At 50.5% G+C, this 16,787-nt stretch overlaps 1 protein-coding gene across 6 annotated transcripts, besides 9 other annotated features; it reads left to right on the top strand.

Annotated features, from left to right (window-relative positions):
• The first annotated feature begins 47 nt into the window (after positions 1-47).
• Positions 48-10,493, top strand: RINL (Ras and Rab interactor like). Of its 6 annotated transcripts, none has more exons than NM_198445.4 (12): positions 48-91; positions 1,542-1,630; positions 1,849-1,992; positions 4,335-4,437; positions 6,453-6,525; positions 6,612-6,676; positions 7,096-7,245; positions 7,331-7,753; positions 8,063-8,380; positions 8,619-8,750; positions 8,913-9,076; positions 9,157-10,493. In NM_198445.4, the coding sequence occupies exons 5-12, from the start codon at positions 6,482-6,484 to the stop codon at positions 9,217-9,219; spliced, it is 1,359 nt and encodes a 452-aa protein (NP_940847.1). In that variant the 5' UTR covers positions 48-91; positions 1,542-1,630; positions 1,849-1,992; positions 4,335-4,437; positions 6,453-6,481; the 3' UTR covers positions 9,220-10,493. The 6 variants fall into 6 exon arrangements, with proteins under 6 accessions (NP_940847.1, XP_011524757.1, NP_001182762.1 ...); XM_011526455.4 differs by having other exon boundaries at positions 1,833-1,992; positions 7,331-7,575; positions 7,672-7,753; positions 8,913-10,493; NM_001195833.2 differs by having other exon boundaries at positions 1,833-1,992.
• Positions 212-261: a silencer, noted in NCBI's record as "silent region_10589". NCBI's record gives its function as "represses an Ori minimal core promoter by ATAC-STARR-seq in GM12878 lymphoblastoid cells {active_cell/tissue: GM12878}" and the evidence as "EXISTENCE:reporter gene assay evidence [ECO:0000049][PMID:35858748]".
• Positions 7,090-7,695: an enhancer, noted in NCBI's record as "H3K4me1 hESC enhancer chr19:39361268-39361873 (GRCh37/hg19 assembly coordinates)". NCBI's record gives its function as "activates a minimal SCP1, AML or CMV promoter by ChIP-STARR-seq in naive H9 embryonic stem cells {active_cell/tissue: H9 hESC(naive)}" and the evidence as "EXISTENCE:reporter gene assay evidence [ECO:0000049][PMID:30033119]".
• Positions 7,696-8,302: an enhancer, noted in NCBI's record as "H3K4me1 hESC enhancer chr19:39360661-39361267 (GRCh37/hg19 assembly coordinates)". NCBI's record gives its function as "activates a minimal SCP1, AML or CMV promoter by ChIP-STARR-seq in naive H9 embryonic stem cells {active_cell/tissue: H9 hESC(naive)}" and the evidence as "EXISTENCE:reporter gene assay evidence [ECO:0000049][PMID:30033119]".
• Positions 8,033-8,282: a silencer, noted in NCBI's record as "silent region_10588". NCBI's record gives its function as "represses an Ori minimal core promoter by ATAC-STARR-seq in GM12878 lymphoblastoid cells {active_cell/tissue: GM12878}" and the evidence as "EXISTENCE:reporter gene assay evidence [ECO:0000049][PMID:35858748]".
• Positions 8,332-8,902: an enhancer, noted in NCBI's record as "H3K4me1 hESC enhancer chr19:39360061-39360631 (GRCh37/hg19 assembly coordinates)". NCBI's record gives its function as "activates a minimal SCP1, AML or CMV promoter by ChIP-STARR-seq in naive H9 embryonic stem cells {active_cell/tissue: H9 hESC(naive)}" and the evidence as "EXISTENCE:reporter gene assay evidence [ECO:0000049][PMID:30033119]".
• Positions 8,373-8,592: an enhancer, noted in NCBI's record as "active region_14601". NCBI's record gives its function as "activates an Ori minimal core promoter by ATAC-STARR-seq in GM12878 lymphoblastoid cells {active_cell/tissue: GM12878}" and the evidence as "EXISTENCE:reporter gene assay evidence [ECO:0000049][PMID:35858748]".
• Positions 8,973-9,032: an enhancer, noted in NCBI's record as "active region_14600". NCBI's record gives its function as "activates an Ori minimal core promoter by ATAC-STARR-seq in GM12878 lymphoblastoid cells {active_cell/tissue: GM12878}" and the evidence as "EXISTENCE:reporter gene assay evidence [ECO:0000049][PMID:35858748]".
• Positions 12,045-12,620: an enhancer, noted in NCBI's record as "NANOG-H3K27ac-H3K4me1 hESC enhancer chr19:39356343-39356918 (GRCh37/hg19 assembly coordinates)". NCBI's record gives its function as "activates a minimal SCP1, AML or CMV promoter by ChIP-STARR-seq in primed H9 embryonic stem cells {active_cell/tissue: H9 hESC(primed)}" and the evidence as "EXISTENCE:reporter gene assay evidence [ECO:0000049][PMID:30033119]".
• Positions 13,180-13,474: an enhancer, noted in NCBI's record as "tiled region #3140; K562 Activating non-DNase unmatched - State 6:EnhF". NCBI's record gives its function as "activates a minimal TATA promoter and a strong SV40 promoter by Sharpr-MPRA in K562 cells {active_cell/tissue: K562}" and the evidence as "EXISTENCE:reporter gene assay evidence [ECO:0000049][PMID:27701403]".

Genomic DNA, 16,787 nt, shown 5'->3' with positions numbered 1-16,787 from the left:
ACTTCAGATACCCCAGCCCCGCCTCTTCCCCCTGCCTGCTCAGCTTCCTCTCTCCACTTCCTGCTACTGCAGGCCTCTCCTCCGAGAACAGGTAGGGCCCCCAGGAACCGAGCATCTGGCATCTTCAGCCCCTGCTGCCTCCCTTTGGTATGAGGCAGCTGCCCTGACCCACCCCTGCCACGCACTGCCCACAGCCTCCTCTCCTGCCACGGTACACAAGCAGGCATCTGCTTCCCTCTCCCCTCCCCTCCCCTCCCTTCCTTCCTGCTCTTGCCTGGGCAGGGCACCTGCGCCTCCCTGCCCACCTCCCTCCTTCCTAATAACACCCTGGCCTTCTGGTCAATGGCCTAATGTATTTGTTTAGCTGCCTATTATCCATATGCTACACCTGCCCCAAACAAGAATGGAAGGCCCTGAGGGGAGGAGCCTGTCCTGTTCATCACCCTCTCTCCAGGGCAGAGGCACCTAATTCCAGCCTGTATTCAGTAAATACTGGATGGATGGAAGGAAGGAAGGAAGGGAGGGAGGGAGGGAGGGAGGATGGATCCTCCCCCGATCCAGGTCTCCTGCTCCTGGGACTGCTGCTGGGATAAGTGCCACCCTAAGTGATAACCTACGTAGGACTCTGTACCTGGTTAGGAGCTGGGGCCTGATGGGTGGATGAAGAGAGAGAGGAACAGATGTGTGATAAAGCAAGATGAGTAAAATGTTCATGGTAGAATCTTGGTAGTGGGCATAGGGATGTTTCCTGTACAATTCTTTCAGCTTTTCTCTATGTCTGAAATTTTTCATAATAAAATGCTGGGGGAAGAGATTCAGTGGCCCCTCCATGGTGTGGGAAGGGAGGAAGAGGGGATGTTATTACCTTTCCAGATATAGGGACTGCCTACTCTGGGCCAAGAACTTTTCCAGGCGCTGACTGGGTTTTGCCAAGGGCTGGCCCACATTTACACAGCCCCCATGGCTGTTAAAAATCTTAACATATTTCCTACCACTTCAGTAAAGAGCTATTGTTTTGAGTCCTCTCCCCACACCGCAAGACACACTGGCCTCTCTCCTGGGATCCCCAGATTCCCCACCATCCGGTACTAAAGATTTAACCCCTGCCGGCCGGGTGTGGTGGCTCATGCCTGTAATCTCAGCACTTTGGGAGGCCGAGGCGGGGGGATCACTTGAGGTCAGGAGTTTGAGACCAGCCTGGGTAACACGTCAAAACCTTGTCTCTACTAAAAAATACAAAAATTACCCAGGCGTGGTGGTGCACGCCTGTAATCCCAACTACTCGGGAGACTGAGGCACAAGAATCGCTTGAACCTACGAGGCGGAGGTTGCAGTGAGCTGAGATCGTGCCACTGCACTGCAGTCTGGGCAATACAGTGAGACTCCGTCTCAAAAATAAAATAAAGAATTAACCCCTGCCACGGCAAGCGGCCTCTGGGGTCCATTCTGATTGGTCAGGGTCTCTGCCATATTGATTGTAAATATCTTGAACATGACCCGAGGGCTAGAGCAGCTTTGAGTCTTACCTTTCTCCCTGCCAGAGGCCAGGTCATGACTCACTGGCTTCCTGCAACCTGACGATGGCCCAGCCAGAAGACAAGGCACCTGAAGTCCCCACAGAGGGGGTGAGGTGAGGCTACTAGGGCTGAGGCTATGCCCTCCTTCCCCTGCATCCAGAAACCCTTTCCATCCAATACCTCCCTCACTACAGAATCCTGAATCACATCTCTGAGCCTCTGCCCTGGGCCTGCCCCTTCCTGTACCTTTGACCTCACCTCATTGTCCCACTGCCCACCTCTGACCCCTGACTCCCTGGACACTGTCCATCCCAGGCTGGTCCCACCACAGGTGAACAAAGCAGACAGGACCCCTCTAGGGGTCCTCAGCACCCTAGAGCCACTTACTCGCCTGCAGAGGACATGGGGGGTGTGGCATGTGCCAGAGCTGGATACCCAGGATGCGGAGGCCCTTGTGGGGCTGTGGCCACTAGGGGTGAGTACTCACAGCTGGGGGCCCATCCTGACACCCTAGATTAGGACTCTGCTGGTTACTAGTGACAAACATGACACAAATTGGGCAAACCAAAAAGGCTATTTATTGCTGGGTGCAATGGCTCATGCCTGCAGTCCTAGCTACTCATGAGGCTGAGGTGGGAGGATCATTTGAGCTCAGGAGGTCAAGGCGGCAGTGAGCTGAGATCATGCCACTTCACTTGAGCCTGGGTGATGGAGCAAGACCCTGTCTAAAAAAAAAAAAAAAAAAATGTAATTTCAAGAAGCTCTGGATCCTGAACTTCAGAACACTTATAAATTCCTCTTCATCCCATTTCTTGGCTTTGCTTTCAACTGCGGGGAATTTTGGATATTTGGGACTGAATATAACAAACACCTGTCCTACAGCGGTTTAAACAAATAGGCATTTATCTTCCTAACATAACCAAAAAGGCAGCTGCTGGCTTTAGATCAGCAGTGCAGTGACATTGAGGCCAGCATAGCTATAATTCTCTTGGACTTCTCTCACAGCTTCCCGGGGGCTGCCCCAGGCCCAAGCACCTGCGTGCATTCCAGGCAGGAAGAACAGAGGCACCACTTGCATCTGTTTATTTTACAGGAAAAATAAAGGTTTTCTTTTCTTTTTTTTTTTAATTTTGAGAGTTTCACTCTTGTTGCCCAGGCTGGAGTGCAATGGCATGATCTCGGCACACTGCAACTTCCGCCTCCCAGGTTCAAGCGATTCTCCTGCCTCAGCCTCCTGAGTAGCTGGGATTACAGGCATCTGCCACAACGCCCGGCTAATTTTTTGTATTTTTAGTAGAGATGGGATTTCACCATGTTGGCCAAGCTGGTCTCAAACTCCTGACGTCAGGTGATCCACCCACCTCTGCCTCCCAAAGTGCTGGGATTACAGGTGTGAACCACCGTCCCCGGCCAAAATAAAGGTTTTCACAACTGATTCAGAAAATATAGATGGCTGGCCGGGTGTGCTGACTCACGCCTGTAATCCCAGCATTTTGGGAGGCTGAGGTAGGAGGCTCGCTTAAGCCTAGGAGTTCAAGACCAGCCTGGGCAACAGAGCAAGGCCCAGTCTCTATTAAAAAAAAAAAAAAAAGAAAAAAGAAAAAAAAAAGGATGGGGCCCAGGTAGCAATATTTTTAATTTTTTTATTTATTATTTTTATTATTATTTTTTGAGATGGAGTCTCCCTCTGTCACCCAAGCTGGAGTGCAGTGGCACGATATTGGCTCACTGCAACCTCTGCCTCCCGGGTTCAAGCGATTCTCCTGCCTCAGCCTCCCGAGTAGCTGGGATTACAGGCGCCCGCCATTACACCCGGCTAATTTTTGTATTTTTAGTAGAGACTGGGATTCACCACGTTGGCCAGGGTGGTCTCGAACTCCTGCCCTCAGGTGATCCACCCGCCTCGGCCTCCCAAAGTGCTGGGATTACAGGCGTGAGCCACCGTGCCCGGCTGTAGCAATATTTTTAACAGCTCTCTTGGGACGTATACAGCCAGAGCTAAGAACCACCACCTATATCAATCATGATCCATATATCAATCATACTCATGGCTGGGTATATTAATGCCGTGAACAAGGAATTCTGCAAGGAATGTGGAATAGGTTTGGAGACGACAGCAAACGGGGGCTACCACAGCTTCCTCCTCAGGAGGGTATCATCCTTCCCAGCTCAGAGCTGTATCCCACCAGTTTAGCAACACCAGTGTAACAAATGAAGTCTTTCCAAAAGAGCTCCAGCACGCAGTGGCTCACGCCTATTATCCCAGCACTATGAGAGGCTGAGAAGAGCGGATCACTTGAAGTCAGGAGTTCAAGACTAGCCTGGCCAATGTGGTGAAACTCTGTCTCTGCTAAAAATACAAAAACTTAGCCGGGCGTGGTGGCAGTCGCCCGTAATCCCAGCTACTTGGGAGGCTGAGGCAGGAGAATCGCTTGACCCCGGGAGGCGGAGGTTGCAGTGGGCAGAGATTGTGCCACTGCACTCCAGCCTGGGCGACAGGGCAAGACTCCGTCTCAAAAAAAAAAAAATCCTGTGGAAGATGTCCATTGGCTGAGCTTGAGTCACATGCCTGTTCCCTGAACCAAACAGTGGGCCGAGAGCACCCTCATCCTGTTGGCTAGATCAGGTCATGGGCCCACCCCGCCAGGGCTTGGGGGAAGTCAGCCCAACACACATGGACTGAAAGTAGGGAGAGGGTTTCCCTAAAGGAAATTTGGGGTGTGGAACCCAAAATAAGGGAAATGGATGCTAGTCAGGCAAAAGCAACAGACATCTGCGCACACCTTTGTCACGCTGGCCTTTGTCTCTATCCCCCAGAGTTTCTTGGTCACAGGACGTGACCCCAGCCAGGCCCTGGTGTTGAGGTCAGGACCTTTACCAGGAGAAGTCAATACCTACCAGATCCAGAAGATTCCCAGAGGTAAGGCACCTCCCCTGAGGTTCCAGCCCACAGTCAATTGATCACTAAGAACTATCAGCTGGACCGGCGCGGTGGCTCACGCCTGTAATCCCAGCACTTTGGTAGGTCGAGGCGGGTGGATCGCTTGAGGCCAGGATTTTGAGACCAGCCTGGCCAACATGGCAAAACCCCGTCTCTACAAAAAATACAAAAATTAGCCGGGCTTGGTGACGCGCGACTGTAATCCCAGCTACTTGGCAGGCCGAGGCACGAGAATAGCTTGAACCCAGGAGGCAGAGGTTGCAGTGAGCCAAGATCACACCACTGCCCTCCAGCCTTGGCAACAGAGGGAAACCCTGCCAAAACAAAACAAAACAAAAACACCTGTCAGCTTTGTTTCCAAAATATCTGATGAATATTTCCAATCCTGTCTCCCTTTCCTTCCCACAATCCATTCTGAGCCCAAGATATTTTTCAGTATCAATCAGATGTTATACACCCCTGCCCCAAATCCTGCAAAGAGCATGCAACGTCCTTAGATACAAAATGTAAACTCCTTGTCATGATCTATAAGGTGCTGTGTGATGTAGTTCCTTCCTGTCTCTCTATCTATTGCCCCTCATTCACTCTGCCCCATACACACTGTTACACTCTGTGTGTCTTTAGCATGCTAAGTGTGTTCCAGCTTCAGGACCTCTGCTTGGGTTCATCCTGTATGAATGCTTTTCCTAGAGGGGCTGGTTTAGTCTCCATCCTCCAGGCCTCTGCAGAAATGTAACCTTTCTTGACCATCATAGTTAAAAGATGGCACCTTGGTCACTTTCTTTTTCTTTTTTCTTTTAGACAGAGTCTCACTCTGTCGCTCAGGCGGAGTGCAGTGGCCCAATCTCAACTCACTGCCACCTCTACCTCCCAGGTTCAAGCAATTCTCATGCCTCTCAGCCTCCCAAGTAGCTGGGATTACAGGTGCACACCACCACACATGACTAATTTTTTGGTTTATTTTTATTTTTATTTATTTATTTTTTATCGTACTTTAAGTTTTGGGATACATGTCCAGAATGTGCAGGTTTGTTACATAGGTATACAGGTGTCATGGTGGTTTGCTGCACCCATCAACCCATGATCTACATTAGGTATTTCTTCCTAATGCTATCCCTCCCCTAGGCCCCCACCTCCCAATTTTTTGTATTTTTAATAGAGATGGGTTTTGCCATGTTGGCCAGGCTGGCTTGAACTCCTGACCTCAAGTGATCCACCCACCTCAGCCTCCCAAAGTGATGGGATTACAGGCGTAAGTCACCATGCCTGGCCTCTTGGTCACTTTCAATCACTCCATTTTCTTCATAGCACTCAATACAATATCCACTTTGTTTACTCGTTTTTAAAATTTATTTTTATTTATTTATTTATTTATTTATTGAGATAGTCTCACTTTTGTCGCCCAGGCTGGAGTGCAATGGCTTAATCTCAGGTCACTTCAACCTCCACTTCCCGAGTTCAAGTGATTCTCCTGCCTCAGGCTCCCAAGTATCTGGGATTACAGGCGCCCACCACCATGCCCAGCTAATTTTTGTATTTTTAATAGAGATGGGGTTTCGCCATGTTGGCCAGGCTGGTCTCGAACTCCTGACTTCAGGTGATTCACCCACCTCGGCTTCCCAAAGTGCTAGAATTACAGGCGTGAGCCACCGTACCCTGACTGTTTATTCATTTATATTCTGCCTTTTCCCCCTCCGCCCCCCGCTAAAAGGTAAGCTACAGGAAGGCAGTGAACTTGTCTGCCTTTTGATAACTGTATCTCCAGTGCCTAGAAAGGACTAAGGGCTCAGTAAATGTTTGTCTAATGAATGAATCCTTGTTGGTGGCATAAGTGGTACACAAGAGTAAAGATGGAGACTCCAAAGAGTGGGAACTTCCCTGTTCTGAAGGTCCCTGGGGGGATTCTGAAGGAATGGAGGAGCAAGAGCATCCCAGGGGACAGAAAACTGCCACCACTCAAGTTTACTTTCTCCTTCTTCCTCCCCCCACCACAGGTGTGTCCCTGGAATCCTCCAACCTCTGCATGCCAGACCTGCCCCATCTCCTGGCCTTTCTATCAGCCAGCAGGTACAGGTCACCCATCTGAGGCACTAAGGGGGACCCTTCCCTAAGACACCCCACTGACACTGTGGCTCCCACCTCTTTATTCTCAGGGATGTTCTGCCCAGAACCCTGCTCTTGCCCCCTCCCACTCTAGGGCCCAGAGATGAACACACAGGTGAGGCACGGTTCTCTAAAGAGGGCACAGCCAACCTGCCAATTTCCTTGCTCCAAGGGAATGAATGGGGCTTTGGGGCCCAGACTACTGGGTTTGAGGAGAATATAGAACTGGAGACTAGAGAGAGCTGGGGGCCTGGACTTTGTAGTCCCAGAGGGAGGAGGGGATGGGGGCCTGTATTCCTAGGTCCTAACAGAGGAGAGGATTGGAGGAGGAAGGAACTGGGGGTCCCGGACGCCTGGGCCTAAGTGAGAAGGGGACTAGGGGCCTGGACTCCTGGGTCTGACTGAGGAGGGGCCAGGAGCTAAGCCTCAGCACCTCCAGCAATGAAGCTGGGAAGTAAGTCTCCTGGCGCCTTGAGGGGACCAGGGTTGGTCCCTTGGATACCTAGGACACCTTCTCACTTCTGCTGGCTCCAGATCCTGTGCAGATCGGCAGGGTCCAACAGGACACCCCAGGGAAGGTGCTTTCCATTGTGAACCAGCTCTACCTGGAGACCCACAGAGGCTGGGGGAGGGAGCAGACCCCTCAAGAAACAGAGCCAGAGGCTGCTCAGAGACATGATCCAGGTTAGCTGGGCGGGGCCCTGGGCCTCTGAAGGGGAGGGAGCTGCTGCCCCTGTTCTAGGCGACCGAATGCCCTCCTCACTTCCAGCCCCCAGGAACCCTGCGCCTCACGGGGTCTCCTGGGTGAAAGGCCCGCTCAGCCCGGAAGTGGACCATCCTGGGCCGGCTCTCGCCAGCCTACTGGAAGAGGAGGAGGAAGACCTTGAAGGAAAGGAGGAAGGAAGGGAGGACGACCCTGAAGAGGAAGGCCCTGAGGACGTGCTCACCATTCACGTCCAGTCTCTGGTCAGGGCCCGGAGCAGCTACGTGGCCAGGCAGTACCGAAGCCTTCGGGTGCGCATCGCCTCAGATTCTGGGGGTCCCCACGGGTCTGGGGACCCGGCCACGGAGCTGCTTCAGGATGTGCGGCACCTCCTTACTGACCTCCAGGATCACCTGGCAAAGGACTCCTACATCAGGGCTGTCTTTGGAAGCAGGGGTCCTGGGCTCCCCAAGAAGGACGAGGATCCAGGTAATGGGAGGACTGGAAGGGAGCCCCCACGGGTTCAAGTGTGCAACTTCGTCCTCTCCATCGGTGCGCACACGTTTCCTTCTGCACCCACACGCCCTTCCTACACATCCCACGCGTTCTATCGCCCACGTATGCGCGCAAGTTCACACCCAGGCTAACTCTTCCACACATGTTCACAACCATGTCTACACTCACGGGGGACCAGAGCTAGGCAGGGGTGGCTGTGGGCCAGGGTGGGTTGTTGGAGCGCGTGGGTGGGCGTGGGACAACTTGGCGGTCCTGTGCTCACCCGTCCCCCACACCCCGCAGGCCCCGCGCTGGAGACGGCGGTGTGCCAGGCGGTGCTGGCGCCCCTGAAGCCGGCCCTGTGGACACGACTCCGCACACTCCGAGCACCGGAGCTGCGGCGGCTGCGGCGGCGACAGACAGCCCTGCGGGCGGGGGCGGGGCCTCCGGGGGCACAGGGGCCGGGACCGGAAGGGCAGAGCCCCGCCCCCGCCTTGCGGAGCCGCATCCACGAGCGCCTTGCGCACCTCCACGCTGCCTGCGCCCCGCGCCGCAAGGTGGCGCTCCTCTTGGAGGTGTGCAGAGATGTCTATGCGGGCCTGGCTCGAGGCGAGAACCAAGGTAAGGGAGGGGTCAACGTCTAGCGTGGTGGGGAGAGCCTTGAGAGTTGGAGCCAGGCGGGAGAGGGTAGCACTGGTGGGAGGAATCTATGCGGTCCTGAAGATTCTGGTAGGAGGCGCTGTCATGCCCGACAAGGTGGAGGGGCAGCCAGCCCTCGTGGTCCTGGGGATCGGATGGAAGGTGTCTACGCGCCTTGAGATGGGGATCCATCTCAAGACCTTTCCTCTGGTTTTCCCAGATCCCCTGGGGGCCGACGCCTTCCTGCCGGCGCTGACCGAGGAACTCATCTGGAGCCCGGACATTGGGGACACGCAGCTGGACGTAGAGTTTCTTATGGAGCTCTTAGATCCAGATGAGCTGCGGGGAGAGGGTGAGCCCCCAACTCCAGAATGCTGGAGCCCAGCGATCCAGTACCTCCGGGATCCCAAACAGCCTCCCCCCGCAGCAGGAGGGACGGCAGGCAAACTGCAGGGGGATTTGGGGCGACCAGGGAAGCCGAGAGGGCGGAGCTGACTTCCCTTTCTGTCCCCAGCTGGGTACTACCTGACCACGTGGTTTGGGGCGCTGCACCACATTGCCCACTACCAGCCCGAAACAGACCGCGCTCCCCGGGGGCTCAGCTCCGAGGCCCGCGCCTCCCTGCACCAGTGGCACCGCAGGCGGACGCTGCACAGAAAGGATCATCCCAGAGCCCAGGTGACTGCCCATCTGGCTGCAAGTAGAAGGGAGGGTGAGACCTGGTGCCCTTCTGACCCAGCTCCCACCTCTCCCCACAGGCCAACCTGCCCTTTAAGGAGCCATGGGCAGAAGAGACTGTGACAGGGACCAGTGACAACTAGGGGTTTCACACCCCTCCGTTCATGCCTGTAATCCCAACATTTTGGGAGGCCAAGGTGGGAGGATTGCTTGAGCCCAGGAGTTTGAGACCAGCCTGGGCAAAACAGTGGGACCCCCATCTACCAAAAAAAAAAAAAAACAAAAATTAGCCGGGCGTGGTGGCGTACTCCTGTGGTACCAGCTACTCAGGAGGCTTTGCAGTTTTAGACAGGCGTATCAGAGAAAGCCTCACTGAGGTGACATCTGCAGAAAGGCCTGAAGGAGGGGAGGGGAAGGGAGGAGCAGAGTGGGTATTAGGAAGAGCATTCCGAGAAGCAGGATGAGCCAGTGCAAAGGCCCAGAGGTAGGCTGTTCCCTTTTCCTGGGACCCCTCCCTCCTCCTTGCTGCTCCTAAACCACATAGGTCAGGAGTCTGGACTGACCCAGGTACGTCTGGCATCTTGCTTGAGGAACAGGGGGTTTTGTTTTGTTTTGAAAGAACGTCTCTGTCTGTTGCCCAGGCTGGAGTGTAGTGGCATGATCTCGGCTCACTGCAGCCTTAACCTCCTGGCTCAAACAAGCCCCCTGCCTCTGCCTACCAAGTAGCTGAGACTACAGGCACCTACCACCGTGCCTGTCTAATTTTTAAAATTTTTTATAAAGATGAGGTCTCTCTTTGTTGCCCAGGCTGGTCTCAAACTCCTAACCTCAAGCAATCTGCCCACGTCGGCCTCCCAAAGTGCTGAGATTATAGGCGTGAGCCACCGTGCCCAATTGTGATCGTTTTTCCCAAAGAATGTATCACATGCTAACAAACCATATATTTATGTATTTCATTGTTCATAGTAACTACAATTTAAAAAACTAAAAAGAAACAAGTGAGGCCGGGTGCGGTTGCTCATGCCTGTAATCCCAGCACTTTGGGAGGCCAAGGTGGGCAGATCACCTGAGGTCGGGAGTTCAAGACCAGCCTGACAAACATGGAGAAACCCGTCTCTACTAAAAATACAAACTTAGCCGGGCATGGTGGCGCATGCCTGTAATCCCAGCTACTCCGGAGGCTAAGGCAGGAGAATGGCTTGAACCCGGGAGGCGAAGATTGCGGTGAGCGGAGATTGCGCCATTGCACTCCAGCCTGGGCAACAAGAGTGAAACACCATCTCAAAAATAAATAAATAAATAAAAAGAAACAAGTGAAGTTAACGTTAATAATAATATATTTGATTTAACACAATGTATCCCAAATATTATCACTTCAACATGTATCCATATTAAAAAGTTACTGACATATTTAAAACTTTGTATGTTTGTGTGTGTGTATGCTAAAGCTTTGAAATTTACTGTGCATTTTACACTTAATCACATCACAGTTTGGACTAGTCACATTTCAAGTATGCACTAGCTACATGAGGTATCTATCTGTGTCTATACGTATAGATATATCTATATATAGATAGATTTATATATTTACAAAAATAAAAAATAATTTATATATAAATTAAAATATTTAATTTATAATCATAATAATTATATTAATTTATAAAATAATATAAATATTATAAAACAATAATATAATAATTTATATATATATAACTTTTTTTCAATTTGTAAATAAACTGGACAGCCTCCAAACCACAATAGGTTCAGAGAGGCTCCTGACGTTGGCTTTTTTTTTTCTTACCTCACATGTGTAGCAGCTGGACTGACCCTGGCTGTTCGAAGAGCCCTGGCCAGTTGTCCTGTGGACAGTCCCAGTTTCTGGCCTCGTCTGCTGCTTCCTCATGATTAAAATCTGGTCTTGCAGCTGTGGGGAAGAATACTCCGCAGGGACGCTGTGTCCTTCTCGGTACCTGAATCCCATCAGGGGCCGTGATTGGTAAAGCTAACTTTGACCATTGAGCTAAGGAGATAGGCTAGTCGGCTAGAGCTGCCATCAAAAAGACCACAGATGGCCGGGTGCGGTGGCTCACGCTTGTAATCCCAACACTTTGGGAGGCTGAGGCAGGTGGGTCACGAGGTCAGGAGTTCGAGACCAGCCTGGCCAACATGGTGAAACCCCGTCTCTACTAAAAATACAAAAAAAAAAATTAGCCGGGCATGGTGACGCGCCTGTAATCCCAGCTACTCGGGAGGCTGAGGCATGGTGATGCGCGCCCATAATCCCAGCTACTCAGGAGGCTGGGGCAGGAGAATCGCTTGAACCTGGGAGGCGGAGGTTGCAGTGAGCTGAGATTGTGCCACTGCACTCCAGTCTGGGCGACAGAGCGAGACTCTGTCTCAAAAAAGAAAAAAAAAAGATCACAGACTGTGTGGCTTAAACAACAGAAATTTATTTCCTCCCAGTGAAACTGTGTTTGCAAAATTATGACTGAGACAGTGAAAGAGATCTAACATAATTGACTCCATCTTGCTTCTAATCTCCAAGCTGTCCTTGTTCATTCCTAGATGTAGGCCGAACTAACTTTGAGAGAAAGAGTTTATAGTTTAAACAAAGTTGAAAACAGCCCTTTCCAAAGCAGAACTCCCTCTTTTTTTCTTTTTTTTTTTTTGGTGAGACAGAGTCTGGCTCTGTTGCCCAAGCTGGAGTGCAGTGGCACAATCTCAGCTCACTGCAACCTCCGCCTCCCGGGTTCAAGCAATTCTCCTGCCTCAGCCTCCTGAGTTGCTGGGACTACAGGTATGTGCCACCACGCCTGGCTAATGTTTGTATTTTTAGTAGAGACACAGTTTCACCATGTTGGCCAGGATGGTCTCGATCTCTTGACTTTGTGATCAGCCCACCTCGGCCTCCCAAAGCGCTGGGATTACAGGCGTGAGCCGCCGCGCCCAACAGCAGACCTCCTTCTTGTCTGGGAACTAGATTGCCTTTGTAGGACTAACATTAATCATAAGATTAGAAATTATGGTTTAGGAGTCATGCAGCCAGAGGCTACAAGATTCTGACCCTCCCTAAACTGCTCCTAAGATCAGTGCTTGGAACATTGTGCAGACCCTGCGCTTGATGGATCAGTGGGCACCACCAGATCAATAAACTGGCTCTTCTGATCTTGTGGCCCCCTATACAGGAACTGACTCAGCTCAAGAAGACAGCTTCGACTCCCTATGATTTCATTCCTGAGCAATCAACACTCCTGGCTCACTAGCTTCCCCCCACCCACCGCGTTGTTGTTAAAAGCTCTGATCCTAGAATGCTCAGGGAGACTGATTTGAGTAATAATACAACTCCGGTCTCCCGCACAGCGCACAGCGGGCTCTGGCTCCTCTGCGTGAATCACTCTTTTTTTTTTTTTTTTTTAAGGCGGAGTCTTGCTGTGTTGCCCAGGCTGGAGTGCAGTGGCGTGGTCTCAGCTCATTGCATCACTGGAAGCTCCGCCTCCCGGGTTCACGCCATTCTCCTGCCTCAGCTTCCCAAGTAGCTGGGACTGCAGGCACGTGCCGCCACGCCCGGCTAATTTTTTGTGTTTTTAGTAGAGACAGGGTTTCACCGTGTTAGCCAGAATGGTCTCGGTTTCCTGACCTCGTGATCCGCCCACCTCAGCCTCCCAAAGTGGTGGGATTACAGGCGTCAGCCACTGCGCCCAGCGAATTACTCTTTCTCTATTGCAATTCCCCTGTTTTGATGTATGGGCTCTGTCTAGGCAGCAGGAAACGTGAACCCCTTGGGCGGTTACAATAGTTCCAGTTCGAGGTGTCAGCACAATAGACTTCCTTCTGAGGGCTCTCTCCTTGGCTTGCAGATGGTCATCTTCTCCCCTTGTTTTTTGTTTTATTTTTTGTTGTTTGTCGGTTTGTTTTTGAGACAGGGTCTCACTCTGTCGCCCAGGCTGGAGTGCAGTGGTGTGATCTAGGCTTACTGCAATCTCCACCTCCCACGATCCTCCCACCTCAGCTTAGTAGTACTAGGACTACAGGTGCACACCACCACCATGCCCGGCTAATTTTCGGTATGTTTTGTAGAAATGGGGTTTCGTCATGTTGCCCAGGCTGGTTTTGAACTCCTGACCTCAAGTGATCCACCCGCCTCGGCCTCCCAAAGTGCTGGGATTATAGGCGTGAGCCTTTGAATTCTTGCATCATCTGTGGGTGTCACCTTGAGACCTGGTGACCAACCTGTTCCTCAACACCTTTCACCCAATGCTTTTAGCACTTCTCTGTTGTTGCTGAATCATTGGATTTATTTGTACTATTAGAGTCTATGTGTGCCAACTGACACTGGTTTTCCACTTCCTGGAGTGAAATGACATCTCCTGTTTAAATAAATGTGTTGAATTAAAAACAAAAGAGTGGGTTGATTTAAAGAAAATTATTAAGCAGTGAAGTGGGCAGGTGATGCATGAATGTGTGGCAAAAAAAAAAAAAAAAGGGACGTGAAACTCAAATGGCAGCTGTTTGGGGTATCGCTGGTTGAGGGCTTAGGGTCAAACTCAAGCTCCTGTTTGCTGTGGAGCTCTGGGCTTCATGCTAGAAGTCTCCCCTTGGGCTCTCACTCACATCATGGAAAAATAATTTTTAATAAAGGAAGTGGGCCGGGCATAGAAGCTCATGTCTGTAATCCCAGCACTTTGGGAGGTGAAGGTGGAATGATTGCTTGAGCCCAGGAGGTCAAAGCTGCAGAGCTGTGATCACACCACTGCACTCCAGCCTGGGCAACAGAGCAAGACCCCACCTCAAGAAAGAAGAAAAAAAGAAAAAGGGAGGAAGTGAACAAAGGAAGTGGTCATACCAAGCACACAGGGTTTTTTTGTTTTTGAAAAAAAAAGTTCTAGTCCACGAAAAAAGATTCAAAGAGAAAAGTCAGAAAGCCCTTTTAAATATATATATATATATATATAAAACTTGGGGCCGGGCATGGTGGCTCACGCCTGTAATCCTAGCACTTTGGGAGGCCGAGGCGGGCAGATCGCGAGGTCAGGAGTTCGAAACCAGCCTGGCCAACATGGTGAAACCCCGTCTCCACTAAAAATACAAAAATTAGCTGGGCGTGGTGGTGCACCCTTGTAATCCCAGCTACTGGGGAGGCTGAGGCAGGAGAATGGCTTCATTGAACCCAGGAGGCAGAGGTTGCAGTGAGCCGAGATCGTGTTACTGCGCTCCAGCCTGGGTGACAAGCAAGACTCAGTCTTAAAAAAAAAAAAAAAAAAAAAAAAAAAAACTTGGATATTAGCTTTTGATTAAGCTGACTTCTAACTATAAAGCTCTTTAAAATAACTACTCTTAAATTTCTTATTACCAGATTAAATTTCTTATTAAAATAAATAAATTTATTTATTTATTTATTTTATTTTTGAGATGGAGTGTCTGTCTGTTGCCCAGGCTGGAGTGCAGTGGTGCAATCTCAGCTCACTGCAACCTCCGCCTCCTGGGTTCAAACAATTCTTTTGTCTCAGCCTCCCAAGTAGCTGGGACTACAGGCAGACACCACCATGTCCGGCTAATTTTTGTATTTTTAGTAGACATAGAGTTTCACCATATTGGTCAGGCTGGTCTCGAACTCCAGACCTCAGGTGATCCACCCGCCTTGGCCTCCCAAAGTGCTGGGATTACAGGCGTGAGAGCCACAGTGCCCAGCCGTATTACCAGCTTTTAGTTGGGACAAACAGCTGGTATTCCTGGCTTGTGAACTTCTTCACCACAGGTACTCTCCCAAGTGAAACCTATAAGCCTTAACCAAGGTTATGACTTAACCAAGGATGCAGGGCATCTACAGCCGTCCTCCCAAGATCTAGAACCACTGCAAAGACAGCTCAAAGAAAGGAAAGTTTTGCTAGCTGCCAATGGAGTACAGCTCACATTTCTCTCTGGCCATATTCTCTAGGGTCTCCGCTCCACAGAGTTGACTGTTTACTCACAAAGGCCCAAAAGTCCTGAACGCCCTCACAGATGGAAGATAGGAAATAAAAAGTTGTCCGTGGAAGCAAAAAGAATCAATAGCGAGACCGGGCGCGGTAGCTCACGCCTGTAATCCCAGCACTTTGGGAGGCCGAGGCGGGTGGCTCACTTGAGGTCAGGAGTTCGAGACTAGCGTGGCCAACATGGTGAAACCCCATCTCTACTAAAAATATAAAAATTAGCTGGGCGTGGTAGCAGGCGCCTGTAATCCCAGCTACTCGGGAGGTTGAGTCAGGAGGATCACTTGAACCTGGGAGAAGGAGGTTGCAGTGAGCCAAGATAGCACCACCGCACTCCAGCCTGGGCACAACAGACCAAGACTCTGTCTCAAACAAAAGAAAAAAAAAGAATTTCAGGAACTGGCCTTAGGAAGTAACCGAGGGTGTGAGTGTCCCAGCTCCGGAAGGAAAGCTGAACAATTGATTTACAGCCTTGTTGCACCTGCCAGAACACCATGTGGCCCATTACTCAAGATAACCATCGCAGCCAGACAAGTGTCCTCATGAGTGCTCTACTCCTCACATGTTTTGCCCAGCTCAGCCTGTATATCCTCCCGCTAATGTCAATTCCAGAGCTTTGCCTAATAAAAAAGCCCTACTGGCTCTTTTCCAAGAGTCAGCCAGCAAATTTGCTCTCTTTCTCTTGTGCTGTCTCCCTCATACCCAGGCATAAACTCCAATGAAGTCTTGTCTGGGAAAACTGTTTTGGCCTCAAGTCAATTTCAGTTGCATTCAGATCCCAAGAACTTGTGGTCTGTAACACTGGGCGGGGGACAGTGAAAAACAGAGGGTTTACAAGGAGGCTCAAGAAAACTTCTGCAGGCGTGGTGGTTCACACCCATCCCAGCACTTTGGGAGGCCAAGGCAGGGGGATCACTTGAGGTCAGGAATTCAAGACCAGCCTGGGCAACATGTTGAAACCCTGTCTCTACTAAAAATATAAAAATTAGCGGCTGGGTGTGGTGGCTCATGCCTGCAATCCCAGCACTTTGGGAGACCAAGGCAGGCAGATCACCTGAAGTCAGGAGTTCAAGACCAGCCTAATCAACATGGAGAAACCCCGTCTCTACTAAAAATACAAAAAAATTTAGCCAAGCATGGTGGCACATGCCTGTAATCCCAGCTACTCAGGAGGCTGAGACAGGAGAATCGCTTGAACCTGGGAGATGGAGGTTGCAGTGAGCCGAGATCACACCATTGCACTCCAGCCTGGGCAACAAGAGCAAAACTCCATCTCAAAAAAAAAAAAAAAAAAAAATTAGCTGGGCATGGTGGTGCATGTCTGTAATCCCAGCTACTAGGGAGGCCGAGGCAGGAGAATTGCTTGAACCCAGGAGGTGGAGGCTGCAGTGAGCTGAGATCATGCCACTGCACTCCAGCCTGGGCGACAGAGCAAAATTCCGTCTCAAAAACGAAAAGAAAACTTCTGTGGGTGTGGTAGCTCACTACTGTAATCCCAGCATTTTGGGAGGCTGAGGCAGGAGGATTGCCTGAGGCCCGGAGTTTGAGATCAGCCGAGGTAACGTAGCAAGACCCCATCTCTACCAAAAAAACAAACAAAAAAAAACCCAATTATATTTATATATATAATATATATATAATATAGTATATATTATACACTATATATAATATAGTATATATTATATATACTATATATGATATGCTATATATAATATAGTATATATTATATGCTATATATGAGA

The sequence above is a fragment of the Homo sapiens genome, chromosome 19 (genome assembly GCF_000001405.40).
Source record: "Homo sapiens chromosome 19, GRCh38.p14 Primary Assembly".
Classification (NCBI taxonomy): Eukaryota; Metazoa; Chordata; class Mammalia; order Primates; family Hominidae; genus Homo; species Homo sapiens.
The sequence above is the reverse complement of the archived record's forward strand: the minus strand, read 5'-3'. Positions and strand labels throughout refer to the sequence as shown.